The 19,764-nt window shown below is 37.1% G+C and overlaps 1 protein-coding gene across 77 annotated transcripts in view, besides 2 other annotated features; it reads right to left on the reverse strand.

The window, feature by feature from the left end:
* Nucleotides 1-19,764, reverse strand: part of LPAR1 (lysophosphatidic acid receptor 1) — a 165,736-nt gene that overhangs the window by 64,713 nt on the left and 81,259 nt on the right. For 71 of the 77 annotated variants that reach the window (NM_001387471.1, NM_001351397.2, NM_001387475.1 and 68 more), the window contains one exon: nt 3,446-4,193. In NM_001387471.1, coding sequence (NP_001374400.1) covers nt 3,446-4,193 — 748 coding nt within the window. Of the gene's footprint in view, nt 1-1,936; nt 4,194-19,764 lie in introns of those variants that run through there. The other 6 variants (NM_001387516.1, NM_001387517.1, NM_001387518.1 and 3 more) reach the window with 2 other exon arrangements.
* Nucleotides 14,742-14,791: a silencer, noted in NCBI's record as "silent region_20175". NCBI's record gives its function as "represses an Ori minimal core promoter by ATAC-STARR-seq in GM12878 lymphoblastoid cells {active_cell/tissue: GM12878}" and the evidence as "EXISTENCE:reporter gene assay evidence [ECO:0000049][PMID:35858748]".
* Nucleotides 14,826-15,325: an enhancer, noted in NCBI's record as "H3K4me1 hESC enhancer chr9:113715081-113715580 (GRCh37/hg19 assembly coordinates)". NCBI's record gives its function as "activates a minimal SCP1, AML or CMV promoter by ChIP-STARR-seq in naive H9 embryonic stem cells {active_cell/tissue: H9 hESC(naive)}" and the evidence as "EXISTENCE:reporter gene assay evidence [ECO:0000049][PMID:30033119]".

A 19,764-nucleotide genomic window follows, 5' to 3' on the forward strand; every position in this document is an offset into this window, starting at 1 on the left:
CCCACATAGCTGAATAAAGTGGCATTTACTGTAGTGAATTCACTACGGCTCTGGTCTTCAGTTTTGAAGGCAGAGAAACTTGGTTTTGTCATCACATGCATTCCCTCAGCATTTATTGACTACCTACTTTGTACCAGATAGCCGTGACAGGCAATGTGGCAACGTGGAGAAAACAAACAATCATTACAATCCTGCCTGCCCTCACAAACCTGGCAATCTGGCAGTGAAGACAAATACTAAAAACCAAATGTACACAAACTAAAGTAAAATAACCAGATTATCAATGGACTAATTTACAAAGAGAAGAACTTCGAGTAGACCAGAATTCTTGTTCCTACTGAAGTGGGAGACCAGCAGGACTTGTTTTCACAACGCTGCTGATCAAAACAGGATGTAGCAAAGAAACCAATCCAAACCAGCAAGGACCAGGAATCATAATACATTTGCATTAGACATTCCTACCAGCACCATGACGGTTTACAAATGCAATGGCAATGACTTGGAAGTTAACCTTACATGGTTTCAGGAACTCCCCACCCCTTTTCCAGGAAGTTCATGAATAACCTGTTTAATTATATTTAGCATTAAGAGTGGGGGCCCAGGCATGGTGGCTTATGCCTGCAATCCCAGCATTTTGGGAGGCCAAGGCAGGAAGATCACTGGAACCCAGAAGCTCAAGACCAGCCTGGGCAACATGACAAAACCCCATCTCTACAAAAAAAAAAGAAAAAAGAAAAAAAAAAATCTGGGTAGCTGGGTGTGGTGGTATGCACCTGTAATCTCAGCTAATTGAGAGGCTGAAGTGGGAGAACTGCTGGAGCCTAGGAGGTCCAGGCTACAATGAGCCAAGATCATGCCACTGCACTCCAGCCTGGGTGATACAGCAAGACCCTGTCTCAAAGAAAAAGAAAAAAGAATGGGTATAAATATAACTAGCCAGCAATCCATTAGTGCTGTTCTGTGCTACCCTGCCTATGAGATAGCCCTGCTCTGCCTTTGGAGTGGTCACTTGGCTGTACACTGTTACGCTAACAAACTTGCTTTCTTTCACTGTTGGTTCACTCTTGAATTCTTTCCTGGGCAGAGCCAAGAACTCCCCCAGGCTGAGCCCCAATTTTGGGGTTTGCCTACATTATGACAAGACCAACCCATGTCTCCCATGTAACCGTGCCTATCTAAGGATGGACACTTACAATTCAAATAGGGGAGCATACTGTAGGAATGGCATTAGGCACCACGCCTTGAAAAACATCTGTTAGGATTGTGACTTCCCCATTCTAAACTTTCCAACCACTCCCTGCCCACATCCTGCCCATTCTCTTATTCTTGCTACTTTTCTCAAAAAGGCTACGGTCCATTTAATTTCTGTTTCCTATATTACAATCTTATTCCCATCTTTCTTCACCAAATACCTTCACCTATCACCGTGACGGGGTTTTCCATGTTCTGAAAGTTCTTCCATCTCACAGCTTTAAAAATCATGCTCTTTATTCCAGAGATGTCAACTGCATTCGATCTTTGTGGAGTATACTAGTTTAAATATTATTTCTGTTATTTTAAAGTTAGTGGTTGTGCAGTGGTAGTAGTTGGGCATGGGAAAGTGGCATTTAGGGCAAATGTACACTGAAACACTAGCTCCTATAGCCTCAAAATGATTATTTCAACCTGAAAAACAACCCAAAGAGGCACAAAAGTATGTGAATCATTCAGTACATTGCACACTGGAATACACAAGATATTATACAAAGGTCAAAATTAAAACAAGAACTTGGCAGGTTAATAGTCCAAGTTCAGTAGTCATTTGCTGCTGGCAATTCTGCAAACTATGAGTAGCACTTGTCGTAATAGAAAAAGTTCATGCATATAAAAAATGTCAACCAACATTTAGGTCATCAGCAAATAAATATTTGAGTCAATACAGGAAAAAAGTCTCATGTTATTTAATGTCTCATGTTTTATTTCATACAAAAATAGCATCCATGGTAAACAAAGATGTGTTTTATCCACATCATGGAAAATGTGGCCTTGTGGCACAGGTGTGCTTAAGGTCCTGTTAATAAACATACAGAGAAACCATTTTTGTAGTTCTACTAATCTTCATTGGATGCAATAAGACAATCTCATATCTGAGGTGATGGGGTCCTCAGTGTTTCAGTTAGTTAGGCAGGGTTTTAGGTGTGTCAGTGATCCCAAGGCTTAGTTGCTATTCTCACAGGTCTACAAGAGGGTCAACAATGAGTATAGCTGAAAATGATGTCCATGATGCAGTCATCCTAACCAAAACAGACGAGACCTATGCATCAATCTGAATACTACTTTATATAATGATCAGCAGGACCCTGTCTCCTTCCAGTGGCTAAAATTAAGGTAATTCCCAGAGTTTCAGAGGAGCCACATAATCCCATGTTACATTCACCCAAAAATGCTATATAAATTGGAGCACAGAGAATTATAGGAACTTTCCATTGAATTTCTGTGGGGAAAGAGGAGGTGATAAAATGTTTTTTTTCAATTTCCATAGGGAAAGATGAAATGATAAAAGGTTTTCAAAAAAGATTTTTTAATGTGATCAAACGTTAACCTGAATATAGTCTATGGAGAATGTATAATTCCATTGGGTAATTATTTTAAAAAACTCTCACTCTACTCTCAGCTCCAAAGGAAATGTCTGTATCTGTCCTTTTCATGGAGCCAGCACAGAGCGTAGAACATAGTAGGTGCTCTTTAACTACCTTCTACACACATAAGTGAATATATTCTTCTTGATCACTACTATGAATTTTTCATCCAAGAAAAACAATGCTTATTTAAAAGCAGAAGGTATTTGAGTCTACAAATCTTGCTCTTCACCTTGAAATATGAATTAACCTCCACTACTACAAATAGAAAATTAATAGAAAATAAGGAAGTTTTCATGAAGATGACTGTCAGAGAATATCATTAATTCCAATCTGTTTTGTTCAGTAAATCTATATAAAACCTTGATATACTACCTATAATGTAGCAACAATTACAGAATAGACTAACAAAAATAACTATATATGGAAGCATATTCATATTCTACAAAAGCACTTTCTGTCTGAAAATATGTAATACAGAAACCACAATGCAAAAGTTTCACAATTTAGGCTGTAAGAAAAATGAATGAGTTTGACTGGTAATTCTGGTATTTTCAATATTAGATAGCCAAACTCTTCAATGACATCTTTTACATCATCATCATTTATACTGCACCACTGGGACCCATGTTTCCCTAACGCTAATTCTATAATTTTAGGAAGACTCATAAGCTGACATTTAATATAAAGGTGCCTCATCCCCTTGTAATTCCTGGTGAATTACCTGGTGAATATTCATACTGTTGGTTACCTCTGACATAAAATAATGTGGTTTATGTTAGTCACTGAGAATCTATAAAGTAAGTTACAGTCAAGACAGAACTTACCAAGCACAATGACCACAGTCTTCAGAAGACTCATCATGGTATCCCGATTCCGCCGGGGTCCAGAACTATGCCGAGACATTCTCATAGTCCTCTGGCGAACATAGCCAAAGATGTGAGCATAGAGAACCACCATTACCACAAAGGTCACCAAGTTGAAAATGGCCCAGAAGACTAAGTAAGAGTCACTGTAGAGGGGTGCCATGTTGGAACAATTTTCAATATCACAGATACAGTTCCAGCCCACACTGGGTATAGCACCCATAACGATGGCCATAGTCCAGATGACCACAATGACCACCACTACCCGCCGGTTGCTCATCCGTGTGTGGAGCTGCATGCGGAAAACCGTAATGTGCCTCTCGATTGCAATAGCCAGTAAGTTGGCCACAGATGCCGTCAGGCTGGTGTCAATGAGGCCCTGACGAAGGAGCCATGTGCTAACAGTCAGTCTCCGAGTATTGGGTCCTGTGTTGAACATGAGATAGAAGTAGGCCAACCCAGCAAAGAAGTCTGCAGCAGCCAGATTAGCCATTAGGTAATAAATAGGAAAATGGAAGCGGCGGTTGACATAGATTGCCACCATGACCAATAGGTTGGCCAACATGATGAAGATACAAACAGTGATTCCAAGTCCCATCACCAGCTTGCTGACTGTGTTCCATTCTGTGGCAAGATGCTTTCCACTTCGGTTATAAAAGAAGGCAATGGACTCGTTGTAGAAGCACTGTGGTTCATTCATGGCTGTGAACTAAAAGAAAAAGGAGAAAAGATGATGAAAAAGAAGGCACAGGTCCAAATTTAAAGCTTATATAGATAACACAAGACTTTTATAGTACATGCAACAGAAAAACAAAAGCAAATAATTTGAACATTTGATCCTGCATACCATCTTGTGATTATGTTGAAACTCCAAGGTTTCTCACAATATTACTGTCCTTAAGATTAAAGGCAGTTGGAGTTAAATAAATGACAAGGTCTCTGCTTAGTGGTTTTATGTCATTGAAGTCTACTACAAAAGCCACATGGCCAAGAAATCTTGCTTAAAATACATGAGACAGACAAAAATTTTGCAGAACATTGCAATTGGAATATTTACCATAGTAAAATCTATTTGACCTGTTATTTAGGGAATCTGTAAACACAGTTGGTTTCTAGATAGGGTATCATTGCCCTATTATTCTGCATTTCTATTCTCACACAGTATGTTCCATGTGGGACAGACATTTTGTAATGCAGGTTCCCACAAGGACCATCATTCCAAACATTTCAAACAAGTCACTGTGCATCAAAGGTTTTTTGCCCAAAGCCAGCATTTGCTGCTCAACATTCCTGTGGTCAGCACTGCCTACCCCCACAACTCCTTAAGTTCAGAATAGGACTTGTCAACCAATCTATGACATTTGAGAATTTTTTTTCTTTTTGGAGGACCCAACGTAACCTCCAAAGAGTAGGTGACCCTTTGACAATGTTCTACAAGTAAAATATACTTAGATTAGATGCAGCATATTTTTTAAAGTGTGGAGTGAAAATGCTTTATAACATGTTTACTTATTCTTCAACATCATTGATAAGAATATATTTGCTTATTATTTACAATATTTATAATAATCACTTTAAAAAGGATTGAGACAGTTTAAAACAGAATAATATATGTTTATTTATCTATCATAATATATAATATATAATTATATATAATTATAATATGTAATTATATATAATAATATATTTAAACAAAATTAGAAAATAAGTAACAAACTAGAAATTAGAAAAGTATACATCACATAGAGTAAGTCATTCTTCTTGAAGCTCTAAGTTTACCTGGGACCCCTAAAATTAAAAAATATATCTTGAAGACGGTTCACATTCTACTTTTTCATTTTTATTTTGCTTTGAATCTAATAAATTACCCAAAACATATGACACTTTTAACCACTATTTTTGATCAAATATTCTACTGAATATCCATAGGTTGTACACTAAAACTTCCAAGAACAACGTGAAATACTTAAGTGGTTAGTCTTCTGACTTACCCAGGCATCTAAAGTCTCTTTCCTTATCTAGACTTTAATAGCTTTTAGATTATGCTTCAAATATTATACTTAATACATTGTATAATTATTTATCTCTTTACTTGTCTGCTTCTTAAAGAGATCACAGTCCAGGGCACAGTGGCTCACATCTGTAATCCCAGCACTTTGGGAGGCCAAAGTGGGTGGATCACTTGAGGTCAGAAGTTCGAGACCAGCCTGGCCAACATGGTGAAACCCCCTCTCTACTAAAAATACAGAAATTAGTCAGACATGGTGGTGGGCACCTGTAATCCCAGCTACTCAGGAGGCTGAAGCAGGAGAATCGCTTGAACCCGGGAGGTGGAGGTTGCAGTGAGCCAAGATCATGCCACTGCACTCCAGCCTGAGTAACAAAGCAAGACCCCAACTCCATCTCAAAAAAAAAAAAAAAAAAGACAAAGTTGATCAAGCTGTTTCCCCACTGGACATGTTTTAAGGGCTTATGAGTGCACGTTAGATAAAAGTCTAAACTTTTCAATCATCTTATCAGACCTTACTTACCTGCCTCTCCAGCCTCAACTCAAGATATTAATGACTCCAAACTCTCAGCTTCAGCTCTATTTAATGTGCTGTGCTCTCTCTCTCAACTCTGGTTCTCAACAGTGAAAACAGTGGTTTCTTGTATCAGAATTACCTGAGAGTTTGTAAAACACTGATTGCTGACATAACCCGCAAGAACTTCTGATTCAGTAGATCTGAGGTAGGGTCCCAAGTAATGCCAAGGCTGCTGGTCCAGGGAATCACTGTATCATAATTGCTTAATTATCTGTTGATCCCCTCTACACTAGGCTATGAAACCCTATAAACGCAGAGATTCTAGCTTGCTTATTCATTGTTGTATAGTATCCAACTGTTCTATGGACTACATGCTAAATACATATTGATTTCCTTAATAAATTAAAGATATTTCCAAAAATGTTTAAACTTTACAAATTTTCTTTCTGCAAAGGATATTTAAAACTTTGTCAAGACAAATATAAAAGTCTGTTCTTTTCATTAGTCTCTATAACCATCTACCTTCTCTGAATCAAGAAATGTTTAAACCAAATATCAAGCGTATATTATTTCCCAGCATTCCAACTTCTGAACACCAAGTAGCAACAAAGTTAAGCAGAGATATATGCAGCTTCTTAGCCCTTCCCACAGAGAAAAACGATAAAGTTAAGGATGGCAAAATTAAGAAGTATAAATTATCTCTTTAAGCCACAATGTACAAAGATGAGTAAAACTGACAGATTTTCTCTAAAGGTAGAGAAAAGTGCCCTGTCCTATGCCATTTCTTTTCTCTCAACAATTGACTGTAATACCATAAAAACCATACATATTTAATGATAAAACTTAAATGATTTTCGAAACTCAATTTTATCATCTGTGAAATGAGGAAATTGGACTAACTTATACATAAGGTCTAGTTCAGATTTAAAATCCTATACTAAGAGGATTCTGGATAAGAACGCTATATTTCATGAAAATTAGCAGCTAAATATTGAAAGAGTAGAAAATACACCAGGAATTAAAAATTGGGAGGGTATAATATGCCTGAGAAGAAGTGAGAGGAATTTCAGTTAGTTTTATGACAATAGGACTGAACTGATAGAGGAATTAAACCTCCTCTCTTATTGTCTGCAGAAAGCAACAGGTCAAAAGAATAAGCAGTGGAGACCCTGAAAGCACCTCCAATGGCAGTAAGAAGGGCAGTGTGAATGGGCTTTCCTACTTCTTCAGGAGCCGACAGACTTAGGCAGAAAACCTACATGGTTCAGAGAGAATCCAATTTAACTGCAATTGGACTATAGGCCAATAAGATAGTCAGGGCTATAATGACAGAAAAATAATTATGGAACATAATGGGGAAAAATGTAATCAAAGGAGGTGGCCACTTATCTCTCGCCAAAGAAGAAATCACCTCCCACTGAAGCAGATGTATGGGAGGGGAAAAAAAGAAGAGATAGAAAGAGAAAAAGATTAAATGATGGGACATCTCTGATTTGTGTCCTCAATGTGTTTTGTTAACATAGTAACATTGAAAATAGAACAAGCCATTATGAAGACAAAAGAAATCAGTAAAAACATCACAAAAATAGTTTTTTATTGCTACTTTAACAAATTGCTATAAATTTAGCAGCATAAATATACAAATTTATTCTCTTACAGTCCTAGAGGTCAGAAGTCCAAAATAGGTCTCACAGGACTAAAATCACCGGGAAGGCAAAGCTCTGTTTCTTTCCAGGAGCTCTAGGGGAGAATCCGTTTCCTTGTCTTTTCCAACTTCTAGAGGCTGCCCACATCTCTTGGCTCATGGCTACCTGTCATCTTCAAAAGCTAGTAATGACTAGTCAGGTCTTTCTCACATGACTGACACTCAATCTTCTTTCTCACTCTACCACATTTGATGACCCCTGTGATTACACTGAGCCCACCCAAAAATCTAGGAGAAACTCCCCATCTCAACATCTTTAACTGAAACACATCTGAAAAGTCCCTTTCTCTATGCAAGGTAGTAGCCACAGGCTCTGAGGATTAAGTAATGGATATCTTTGGAAGCCATTATTGTGCCTATCAGAACAAACTGAAAAACAATTTCTGTATTAAAAATGGCAATGCAGGTAATGAAAGGAAGTATAAAAATTCCAGAAAACTGAAATGGCAGGTAGAAGACTAAGGAAATTCACCCAACACTCAGAAAAGAGTCAGAGATGACAAGAACAAAAGAAAAGAAGGCACATATAGGAAAAAAATTCAAGATGCACCAGGGGTCCAAGAAAGATTAGAAGGAACCTGAAAAACACAGCTCCAAACAGAAGACAAGTAATTGCCTAAAAAGAAAGGTCTCAGATTAGTGATTTAAATTTATGTAGATTACAAAACAAAGTTAATTAAAAGCAACTAAAATGTAGGTGTATCTTGATGAGATTTTGGGATCTCAATGGTAAAGAAAAATTGTAAGAGTTTAGAGAAAAAAAATAACAAGTCAAATATCTAAAGACAGAGAGAATCAGAACAGACCCATTATACAGAGAAATTTTTTGAGATACATAGCCAATTACATTGATGTTTTCATACGAGGACAATAAAGAACAGTCACAGAAATGTGAGTATTCAGAAAGAATGCCATCTACATTTCATCTACACTTCCTTCGTAGAGAAAGTGTATATAGTATTTAACTCTTGAGAAAAGAAAAAAATAAATACACACACACACACACAATAAATACAAGACCCTGGCAGCAAGCATTAAAACCCACAGAACATGATTCTAAATAATTGTTCTTCATAGGGTTATAAAACTTAAAGCAAATATCAAAAATAATTATTGAAAGAAGCTATACCTATTAATAAAATAGCAATTTAATAATAATCTGGGATTAAAATTACTTACTGTATAGATAAAAACTTGAAATGGGGAAGCAGAATGTAAACATATTAATTTTCTCTTATTACTCAAGTAAAAATGAGATGATTTAAATGTGACAAGTTTTCAAAAATAAAGTTAAATATGCTGATTCAAAAACCACTGAACTGAATAATACACTAAAGCAGAATGGCAACTTTTTGTATTACTGGAGAAAAACAGAGTGCAAAATAGGAGGAAAGCATAAGCAATACATAGAATGACAATTTTGTAAAATTTATGTAGGTGAGATTATAGATGATTTTTTCATCTTTAGAAAGTAGCTCATATTTATTGCAAGAAATTTTGGGAAGAACAAAAATACACTCATACAAAGTCCAATAAGTACTTTTCCAAAAAGCTCATTATAAAATCCAAATCACCATAATTAGAAACTTCTCTGTAATACGAAGTTATAGAATTTCACCCTGCCCAAGAAACAAAAACATAAATAAGATAGCATTATTCCCAAATTCAGTTGTCCTCAAAACTGAAAAGAGAAGTTCATATTCATGCCCTTTTCTCACCCATCAATTATTTTGTCTTAGGATGATAGGGTTCGAGGGAAGTGATCTCACTGGCTGCTCTATAGAGTAGATGTTACAAATCTCAGAAATTTACCTCACCTTATTGTGTGATCTCAAAATAAGTTATAACAAATCTGTCAAGCCTAAACGCTAAAGAGTCACATATGTTGTTTACCTTCACCATGCAATTCATTCATCCATGCACACATTCTTGAACGTTTATAGGATACCAGGTTGGGCATGGCACTGCATTATGCCTTCTAGGAGTACGACTGATGCACCCAAGTGCCTGGCATGGAGCCACTCACAGTACATCTGATGTGTTCTTCCATCTCTTGAAAGACAATTACATACTCATTGGCCAAGAGGAAGAAGGAACAGTTGGCATAAACTCACATGCTAGTAATTACACCAATGTGATTTAGTATTTAGATATGAATGTAAATATGTACTCTACTGAGATACTCTAAGGGAGACTGTAATCTATGCTGATAAAGAACTAGTAATAAGATATAAATCAAATCAAACCAACTTACTTCCTCCACTTCTGTTAAAATACAATAGAGTGAGCCGGGGCGGGGGCCTGATTTGTAGCTTTGGTTTAGCAGATCTCTTTCTGATTCTCATTTTCAACTAGCTAATTTGTTTTTCAATAAGTTCCAAAACTGTTCTGAATCTCAATTGTCTCATTTGTAAATTAAGGTAAGGATGACCTCTAAGACTTTTTAAATTCTTATTCTTAAATTCAAAATAATCAGGCCTATTTTCTTTCTCCAAAAAAGATTAGAAAAGAGACAGCATAGAATTTAATTAAATTCCATTAAGTCTCTATTAACAAGAAAAAAGTCCTCACCCTTCTTAGAGCTTCAAATTGGACATTTTAAAAAGTGAGATGTTTTGTCACAATAACTAGAAAATGGGCCACAAAACAATACTGATATCCACTAAAAATGATTTTAAACTAGAATACTTAAAATCGCTGAAGAATATGCAACTAGTAAATTTTAGGAGGTTTATCTGAAAAAGTACATAAAATGCTACTTCTTATAAAATAATAATGTATATCAATGTGATATACACATATGCAAAAAGAAACTGTGCAACACATAAATTGTAAGTTAATAAAAGTACTTTTTATCTATTATAGCCCATTGTCTACCATGCTGAGAAAAGGTACACATCATCATACTTGTCAAATTTCCAAAGAGAATTCTGTGTCAGTCCTAAGAGGAAGGAATGGAAAAATTCACTAAAAACACTAAGATGTGCTGGATAAAGTATAATAAATAGTCCTTAGATGCACTGCTAAGCTAAGAGGGAACTTAAACCAAGGTGAAAGGCTGTCCAGGCAGCAGATTGTCAGAGATCATGAGGACAGGGCTTTAATACTATTGGGAAACAGAAGATGAGCCCTTGGGCTTGACTGAGGCAGTGAGTTGGAATTGAGACCCACCCACCAAGCTAGCAGTCTCTAAGATCTTCGTATTGGTAAGTGTGTAGATCAAGAAAAAAAAAAAAAAAGATATCCCTACTTGCACTGGGAAGAACAAGGAAGTTTTGTCAAGCTCAGGCTCCAGATTGGAAAATAAATAAAGAGTCCCTTAAGAAATCATGACTCTAGTCCCATAAATCACACAAGGCTGGGATTTGAACTTAGACTACCTGTCAAGTCTGAGAACCCTCAGGAGAAGAAATTAACACAAACCAAGGTCCTGAGTTGGTGATATCCCCATGCTCCTCCCACTCACCGCCTAACACTAGCAAACACCAAACTTCTCTGGAGGACGAGACCTCAACACAGCCAGCCACACGGGATTCTCTCAAACCAGCCTCACTGAATATAAACTCATCTTCCAAAAGGAAAAAAACACAGGAGGATGCCACATGTGAGAATCCCCAGAACAGTTCACAGCAGGATTAGACCCAAGAATGTCAGATAATAAATGATTAAAGACAAAACGGAACTGACTGCATTCTCCCTTTTCCACTTCTATTGGTTCAAGAGTTATACATTGTTTCTATTCTTTAATGCTTAGTCTTAATATTTTAACATGCACACTTGACTAGAAGTCTGAAGGTAATCCTCTTCCCTTGATATGTTTTCTCTCCAGTGCCTCCACTCCCATCTTACATGTTACTGTGGCTCAACATTCTACTTCCATTTGTTCTGAAGCCTACCTAAAATTACTTGCTATTACTTATTTTCCCAGTTTATTTGGTTACCCCATAAGAAGCCAGTAGAATCATCTTACAAGAACAAACAAGGAGAGTAAGAACAACATGAATTATGAGTTAATCTAATTTAAGACCATAAATGAGAGTTTCTAAATAAAATGCAAGTAAATCAAATATGTATCTTCAAGATACACACAAACACACAGAAGATGGGGTGTGTGTATATATGACTAAATGGGTTGTATGTATATCAATTTCTTACGACTAAATAGGGTTTCCTCCAGAATGCAAAGATGATTTAACATTTAAAAAATGTGGTTACATAATTAACCACTCTAACAAATTGAAAGAGAGAAAAAAAGCCAATGATCATCTCAAAAGACATGGAAAATGTGCTTGGCAATTTTTAATACACTTTCATGATATTCTGACAATCTATAATTAGAAGATAATTAATTTCCCTAACTTATTGAAAAGTAGCTATCAAACATGTACACTAATTGTCATATTTAAGCATTCACTTTCAAAACATTCATATCATATTTAAATATGACATGAATGTCATATTTAAGCATTCACTTTCAAACAGAAACAAGGACAGGCGTGGTGGTTGATGCCTGTAATCCCAGCACTGTGAAGGGCTGAGGCAGGTGGCTCACTTGAGGCCAGGAATTTGAGACCAGTCTGGACAGCATGGCAAAATCCCATCTCTACTATAATAAAAATACGAAATTTAGCTGGGCATAGTGGTACATGCCTGTAATCCCAGCTATTTGGGAGGCTGAGGCATGAGAATTGCTTGAACCTGGGAGGCGGAGGTTGCAGTGAGCGGAGATAGCATCACTGCATTCCAGCCTGGGTGACACAGTAAGACTCTGTCTAAAAAAAAAAAAAAAAAAAACTGGAAATTTTTAAAAAACCTTATTTTTAACCACACATAATATAATCAGTTACACAGAAAATGCAAGACACCTATAAACAAACTGTATTAAGAGAGTTTAACAAATTTTCTGAATTAATCATCAAGCCATATGAATCAACTGCTCCTATAAAAATACCAGAAAAAAAAATTCTAGTTATTATTTCAAGAAAGAACACATTTACAGTAACAAGAGCTCTAACGTATCTAGGAATAAGTCTGACTTTACAAAAGCATACAAGCAAACCTAAATAAATGAAGAAATAAAATATTTTTGTGAATAGAGATGTAAAGATGTCAATTTTCCCAGTATCAATATATAAATTTAACATGATAAAATTAAAATCCCAAAAGGGTTTCTCATGGAACTTGACAGACTCCCTGAACATTGATATGAAAGCACAAAAGAACAACAATACCCAAGACAACTAGAAAACTAATAACTAGATGCGTTATTGAATACTACATTTTAAAGTGATGGTAGTTAGGACATTGTGATATTGGCATAGAAATACATGGATAGCCCAATGGAACAGAATAAAGAGCCTGAAACACACATATTATAACTTGATATGAGAGATATGATTTTACCCATCAATTGAGAAAATGACGTATCTGTTCATTCATGTAATAATACTTAAAAACTGAATATTTATTTTAAACACAGAAATCCGTTTCAGGCAATATGAAAATACACATATAATAAAATATAATTTTAAGAAGAAAATGAAAAAATATATTTATAAGCTCTGAAGAGGGGAATATTTCTAAATATGACCAAAAAGCATCGATAAAACTTGACTAATCAAAATTTTAAGACTTCTGTGCTGCAAAATCTAATGAGTGAAAAGAAAAACTAAATTAGTAGAAACTTTAGAAACACACATAAGAAAGACTTTCTCTACAGTGAAATGTAAAGACTTCTTACAAGTCAAAAAGGGAAAAGACAAACAATCCAACAGAAAAAGGGGCACCGATGTGGATAGGCAATTCACAGAAGAGAAAACCTTAAGAGCCAATAATCACAAGAAAAGAAAATTACATTTACAGGGAATCAGAGAATTAATTACAAACTGCAGTGAGATCCAATTTATTTCCATCAGGTTGGCAAAAATTACCAAGTTGGAAAATGTCAAGAGTCAGTGAGGTCAGTCCTACAGTGCTAGTGAAAGTAAAATTTAGTACAATAGCTTTGAAAAACAGTTTGGCAAAAACTACTAACTATGAACATGTTCATACACTAGATCAAAAGATTCTAACCCTAGTTTAAAAAAAAAATCACACATGTGCCTAACGAGAGACACATGAATTCCAATTGCCACTCTTTTAAAATATCAAAAGCAACACAAATATTTATCAACTGGTGAAGGAATAAATCACAATATTACCAGAAAGATATAAAGCAGTTAAAATAAACAAAGTATAGCTTTAAATATGCTAATGACTAAAGCAATTTGCACAAGGATGCATGCAGTACATTATTCTTGTGAATATTAAAAACTTGCAGAAGCCAAGACGGCTGACTAGAGGCATCTGGTACTCACCTCCTCCACAAAGAACAGAAATAGCAAGTAGATAGTCACACTTTAAACAGACCACCTAAAAAAGAGTACTAGAATTCAACAGAGAAGTGACAGGAAACACCTAAGGCAAGGAAGAAGAGGGAAGCAAGGCAGCCTGCTGTTCTGGGACTGGCGAGAAGCCTGGAACAGCTCTTCGATGTAGGGAAAGGGGAAGTGACCTCCAGTGGTCCACAATCCCACCAGACTCCAATCCTAGCCACAGGAGAGCCCCTCAACCCAAAAGGGCCCTGAAACTGATGTAGGGAGCTGCCTGGAGACCATGCAACAGCGTTACTCCAGAGACAGAGCTCATGCCAATTCCCACCTTCCCCCTCACCCTCTAGTCCTAAGCAGCTACAGCAAAGCACCACTTTGAGAACCCAGCCCCCACCAAACTGCATCTACCCAAGGGGCCCAAGACCCTCCTCTCTCCACATATCTGAAGCTACACTGACACCCTCTGCTTACATCTACCACCACAGCTGACTGCCATTGGCAGCAACTCTGCTGCCCACGATAGCAGGGCTACAACACACTTAAAAGTGCCCTGAGGAAAGGCTACTCTGCTTATAGCTGCTACCTGGGGCTGAAGCATGTGCTCTCCAACCACCTGTCTGTGGTTGCTGCCACTGAAAGCAACCCCGCCCTCCCCAGCAGTAGGACCACAGCACAGCCATTGCCACCCCCACCAAGCATTCCACTGCAGAACTGAGGATCACCCCGCCCCTGCCTACCACAGCTAGCACCAGCACTTGGGAGCCTGAGGACACGTCCACCTGGCCCAGCTCCACTGTCTACCTCCAGTGCTCAAGCATGCCATCCAGGGGCCTTGGGATCACCCTGCCCCAACCACCACCACTGGCACCTGAGCACACTTCCTGGGGATCTCAGGATGGGCTCACCCAAACTGCCACTATCACCTCAGTTGGCACACAGACGTATGTGCCAACTGCAGGCCTGGCGACTGGCCCTCCCAGCCTGTTGCAGCCACTGTCAACACAGTATGGACCACCTGGATCCCACAGGGTTGCCCCATCACTAATACTGCTATCTCCCACACCACACCTGACACTCAGAGGGACCTAAGGACCTACCCACATGCCTGGCCCACTCAGGCAAGCCTGGAGGCTCAAGAATCAGCCTGCCTGGACCTCTTACACTGGTACCAGCATACACCAAGAACAGGCATGCTCAGCCTGCAACTGCCACTACTGAGGCTCAGGACTGACCCATCTGACATCCCCGGCCCCAGCAAACCTTTGCCACAGCCTCCACAACCAACCACACCCAAAGCCACTTAAAGAATTACAGACACATAGTCCGGGCGTAGTGGCTCATGCCTGTAATCCCAGCACTTTGGGAGGCCGAGGTGGACAGATCACCTGAGGTCGGAAGTTCAAGACCAGCCTGATCAACATGGAGAAACCCCAACTCTACTAAAAATACAAAATTAGCCGGGCATGGTGGCACATGCCTGTAATCCCAACTACTTGGGAGGCTGAGGCAGAAGAATGGCTTGAACCCAGGAGGCAGAGGTTGTGGTGAGCCAAGATCGTGCCATGTCACTCCAGCCTGGGCAACAAGAGTGAAACTTGGTCTCAAAAAAAAAAAAAAAAATTACAGACACTACTGATGCATTTACAGCCAAAGAAATTATATGGAGACTACACTACTTCACATACTCAGAATCAAAGCCAAAGTGACCTACACAACCAACACCATAGATACATCTTCAGGAAAACATCCTCCCCTATGAAAGTAAATTCCCAAAACTGGAATAAGAAAATTTTATATCAGATGTGCAAATTATCAACATGCGAACAAAAGAAACACAAAAAAGCAAGGAACTATGACACCTTCAAAAGAGCACAATAATTCTTCAGCAATAGACTTGAATGAAAAAGAAACTTATGAAATCCAGGACAAAGAATTCAAAATAATAATATTTTAAAAAATAGTGAATTATAAGAGAATTCAGATTAAACAATAAAAAGAAATCAGAAAAGCAATTCAGGATATAAATGAGAAATTTAGCAGAGACAGATATCATTAAAAAGAACCAAACAGAAATCTTGGTACTAAAGAATTCACTGAAAGAAATACAAAATACATTCAAAAAGCTTCAACAACAGACAACAGACAAGATCAAGGAGAACAATTTCAGAATTTGAAGACAGGTCTTTTGACATAACCCAGGCAGACCAAAAGAGAAACAAAAGGATAAAAAAAGAATGAACAAAGCCTATGTGACATATTGGACACAATATACTGATCAAATATTTGAATTTTACATGTTCCAGAAGGCAAAGAGAAAAATGAAAGGGAAAGAAGACCTATTTAACAAAATAACAGCTGAAAATTTCCCAAGTCTAGCAAGAGAATTAGACATCCAGATATAGGAGGCTCAGGGATCCCCAAACAGATACAACCCAAAAAGGTCTTCTCCAGCACATAATAATCAAACTATCAAAAGTCAAGGACAAACAGAGAATTATAAAAACCTCAAGAAAAACAAAAAGCATCAAGTCACTTATAAGGGAACCCTCATCAGACTAACAGATTTGTCAGGAGAAATTGTACAGGCCAGGAGAGAATGGGATGGGATGACACATTCATTCGAAGTGCTGAAGGAGGAAAAAAACAAACAAACAAACAAACAAAAAAAACTGCCAGTAAAGATACTATACCCAGCAAAGTTATCCTTCATAAATGTAGAATAAATAATGTATTTCCCAAACAAGCAAAAGCTGAGGGAATTACCACTAGACCATACCTACAAGAAATGCTTCAGGGAGTCCTACACTTGGAAGTGACAGGATAATTTCTACCATCATGAAAACATACAAAAGTGTAAAACCCACTGGTAGAGCAAACACACAAATGAGGAAGAGAAAGAATTCATATGTTACCACTAAAGAAAACCACAAAACCACAATGATAAACAGTAAGAAAGAAAGGAAAAAGGATACATGAAACAACCAAAAATCAATTAACAAAATGACAGGAATAATCCCTCACATATCAATAACAACCAAGAATGTAAACAGATTAAACTTTCCACTTAAAAGATACAGCCTGGCTGAATGGATTTAAAAACGTGATCCAACTATACTGTTACCCACAAGAAACTCATCTCATCTGTGAAGAAACATGTAGACTGAAAGTAAAAAGACAGAAAAAGATATTCCATGCAAATGAAAACCAAGAATGAACACAAGTACCTATACACATGTCAGATAAAATGGACTTTAAATTAAAACAGTAAAAAGAGATAAAGAGGGTCATTACATAACGATAAAGGAATCAATCCAGGAAGATGTAACAATTCTAAACATATACACCAAACACAGAAACAACTAGATGTATAATATTATTAGACCTAAAGGAAGAGACAGATTCCAATACAATAATGGTTGGTGACCTCAACACCCCACTCTCAGCATTGGGAAAAAAATTAACAAATAAACATTGGATTTAAACTACACTTTACACAAAAATGGACCTAATAGACATTTAGAGAACATTTCATCCAACTGCTATAGAATATACATTCTTTGTATCAGCACATGGAACAGTTCCCAGAATAGACCACATAAAAAAGTCTCAACAAATTTAAATAAAAATCATACCAATTATCTCCTCAGACCACAATAGAAAAAAAAAAACACAAATCAATTACAAGAGTAACTTTGGAAACTATACAAATACATGGAATTAAAAAAAATACTACTGAATGACCATTGGGTCAAGGAAGAAATTAAAAAGAAAATCAAAAAATTTCTTGAAACAAATGAAAATTGAAACACAACATACCAAAACCAATGGGATACAACCAAAGCAGTGCAAAGAAGGAAATTTATAGCAATAAATTCCTACATCAAAAAACTAGAAAGATTTCCAATAAACAACCCAAAAATGTATCTCAAAAAACTAGAAAAGAACAAAATCAAGCCCCAAATAAATAGAAGAAAAAAAATAATAAAGATTAGGGCATAAAAAAAGGATGAGTTCGTGTCCTTTGCAGGGACATGGATGAAGCTGGAAACCATCATTATCAGCAAACTATCACAAGAACAGAAAACGAAACACTGCATGTTCTCACTCATAAGTGGGAGTTGAACAAGGCGAACACATGGACACCGGGAGGGGAACACCACACATGGGGGCCTGTCGGGGGGTTGGGGGGCTAGGGGAGGGATAGCATTAGGAGAAATACTTAATGTAGGTGACGGGTTGATGGGTGCAGCAAACCACCATAGCATGTGTATACCTATGTAACAAAACTGCACATTCTGCACATGTACCCCAGAACTTAAAGTATAATAATAATAATAAAAATACTATGTGTAGTAGGGAATAAAAGTTAATATTTAAAAAATAAAGAAAGAAAGATTAGGGCAAAACTAAATAAAATAGACTTTAAAAGACAATACAAAGGATCAACCAAAGAAGTTAGTGTTTTGAAAAGATAAACAAAATTGAACTACTAACTAGACTAACCAAGAAAAAAGACAACCCAAATATAATTAGAAATGAAAAAAAAAGCAGTATAACTGATACCATAGAAATACAAAAGATCATCAGACTATTATAAACAACTATACGCTAGCAAACTGGAAAACCTAGAGGAAATGGATACATTCCTAGAAACATACAACCTACCAAGATTGAATCAAAAAGTGGAAAACCTAAACAGACCAACAATGAATAATGAGACTGAATCAGTAATAAAAAGTCTCCCAACAAAATAAATTCCAGGACTAAATGACTTCACTGCCAAATTCTACCAAACTTACAAAGAATTAACACAATTCTCCTCAAAGGATTCCAAAATATCAAAGGGAGGTGATTTTTCCTAATCCATTCTACAAGGCCAGCATTACTCTGATATCGAAACCAGAAAAGGATGCAACACAAAAAGAAAACTGCAGGGCTATATCCCAGATGAACATAGATGGAAAAAATCCTCAACAAAATATCAGCAAACTGAATCTAATAACACATCAAAAAGATAATATACCACGTTGGGCTCAGTGGCTCATGCCCGTAATCCCAGAATTTTGGGAGGTCAAGGTGGGAGGATCACTTGAGCCCAGGAGTTCAAGACCAGCCTGGGCAACAAAGTGAGATGCCATCTCTACAAAAAAAAAAGGCATAGTAGTGCGCACCTATAGTCCCAGCTACATGGGAGGCTGAGGCAAGAGGAACCCTTGAGCCCAGGAGCTATGATTATGCCATTGCACTCCAACCTAGGTGATAGAGTGATACTCTGTCTCAAAAAAAAAAAAATAATAATAATAATAATAATGCACCATGCACCATGCACCATGATCAAGTAGGATTTATCCCATGGATGCAATGATGGTTCAACATATGCAAATCAATAAACACAATACATCATATTAACAGAACGAAGAATAAATACCATATGACCATCTCAATAGATGCAAAAAAAATTGATAAAATTCAACATTCTTTCATGACAAAAACTCTCAGCAAACTAGGCATAAAAGGAACATACCTTAACCTAATAAAGCCTATATATGACAAATCCACAGCTAACATCATATTGAATAGGGAAAAGCTGAAAGCCTTTCTTCTAAGAACTGGAACAACACAGCATGCCCACTTTCACCACTCCTAGTCAACATAATACTAGAAGTTCCAGCCAAAGCA

This window comes from Homo sapiens, chromosome 9 (assembly GCF_000001405.40).
Source record: "Homo sapiens chromosome 9, GRCh38.p14 Primary Assembly".
NCBI lineage: Eukaryota > Metazoa > Chordata > Mammalia > Primates > Hominidae > Homo > Homo sapiens.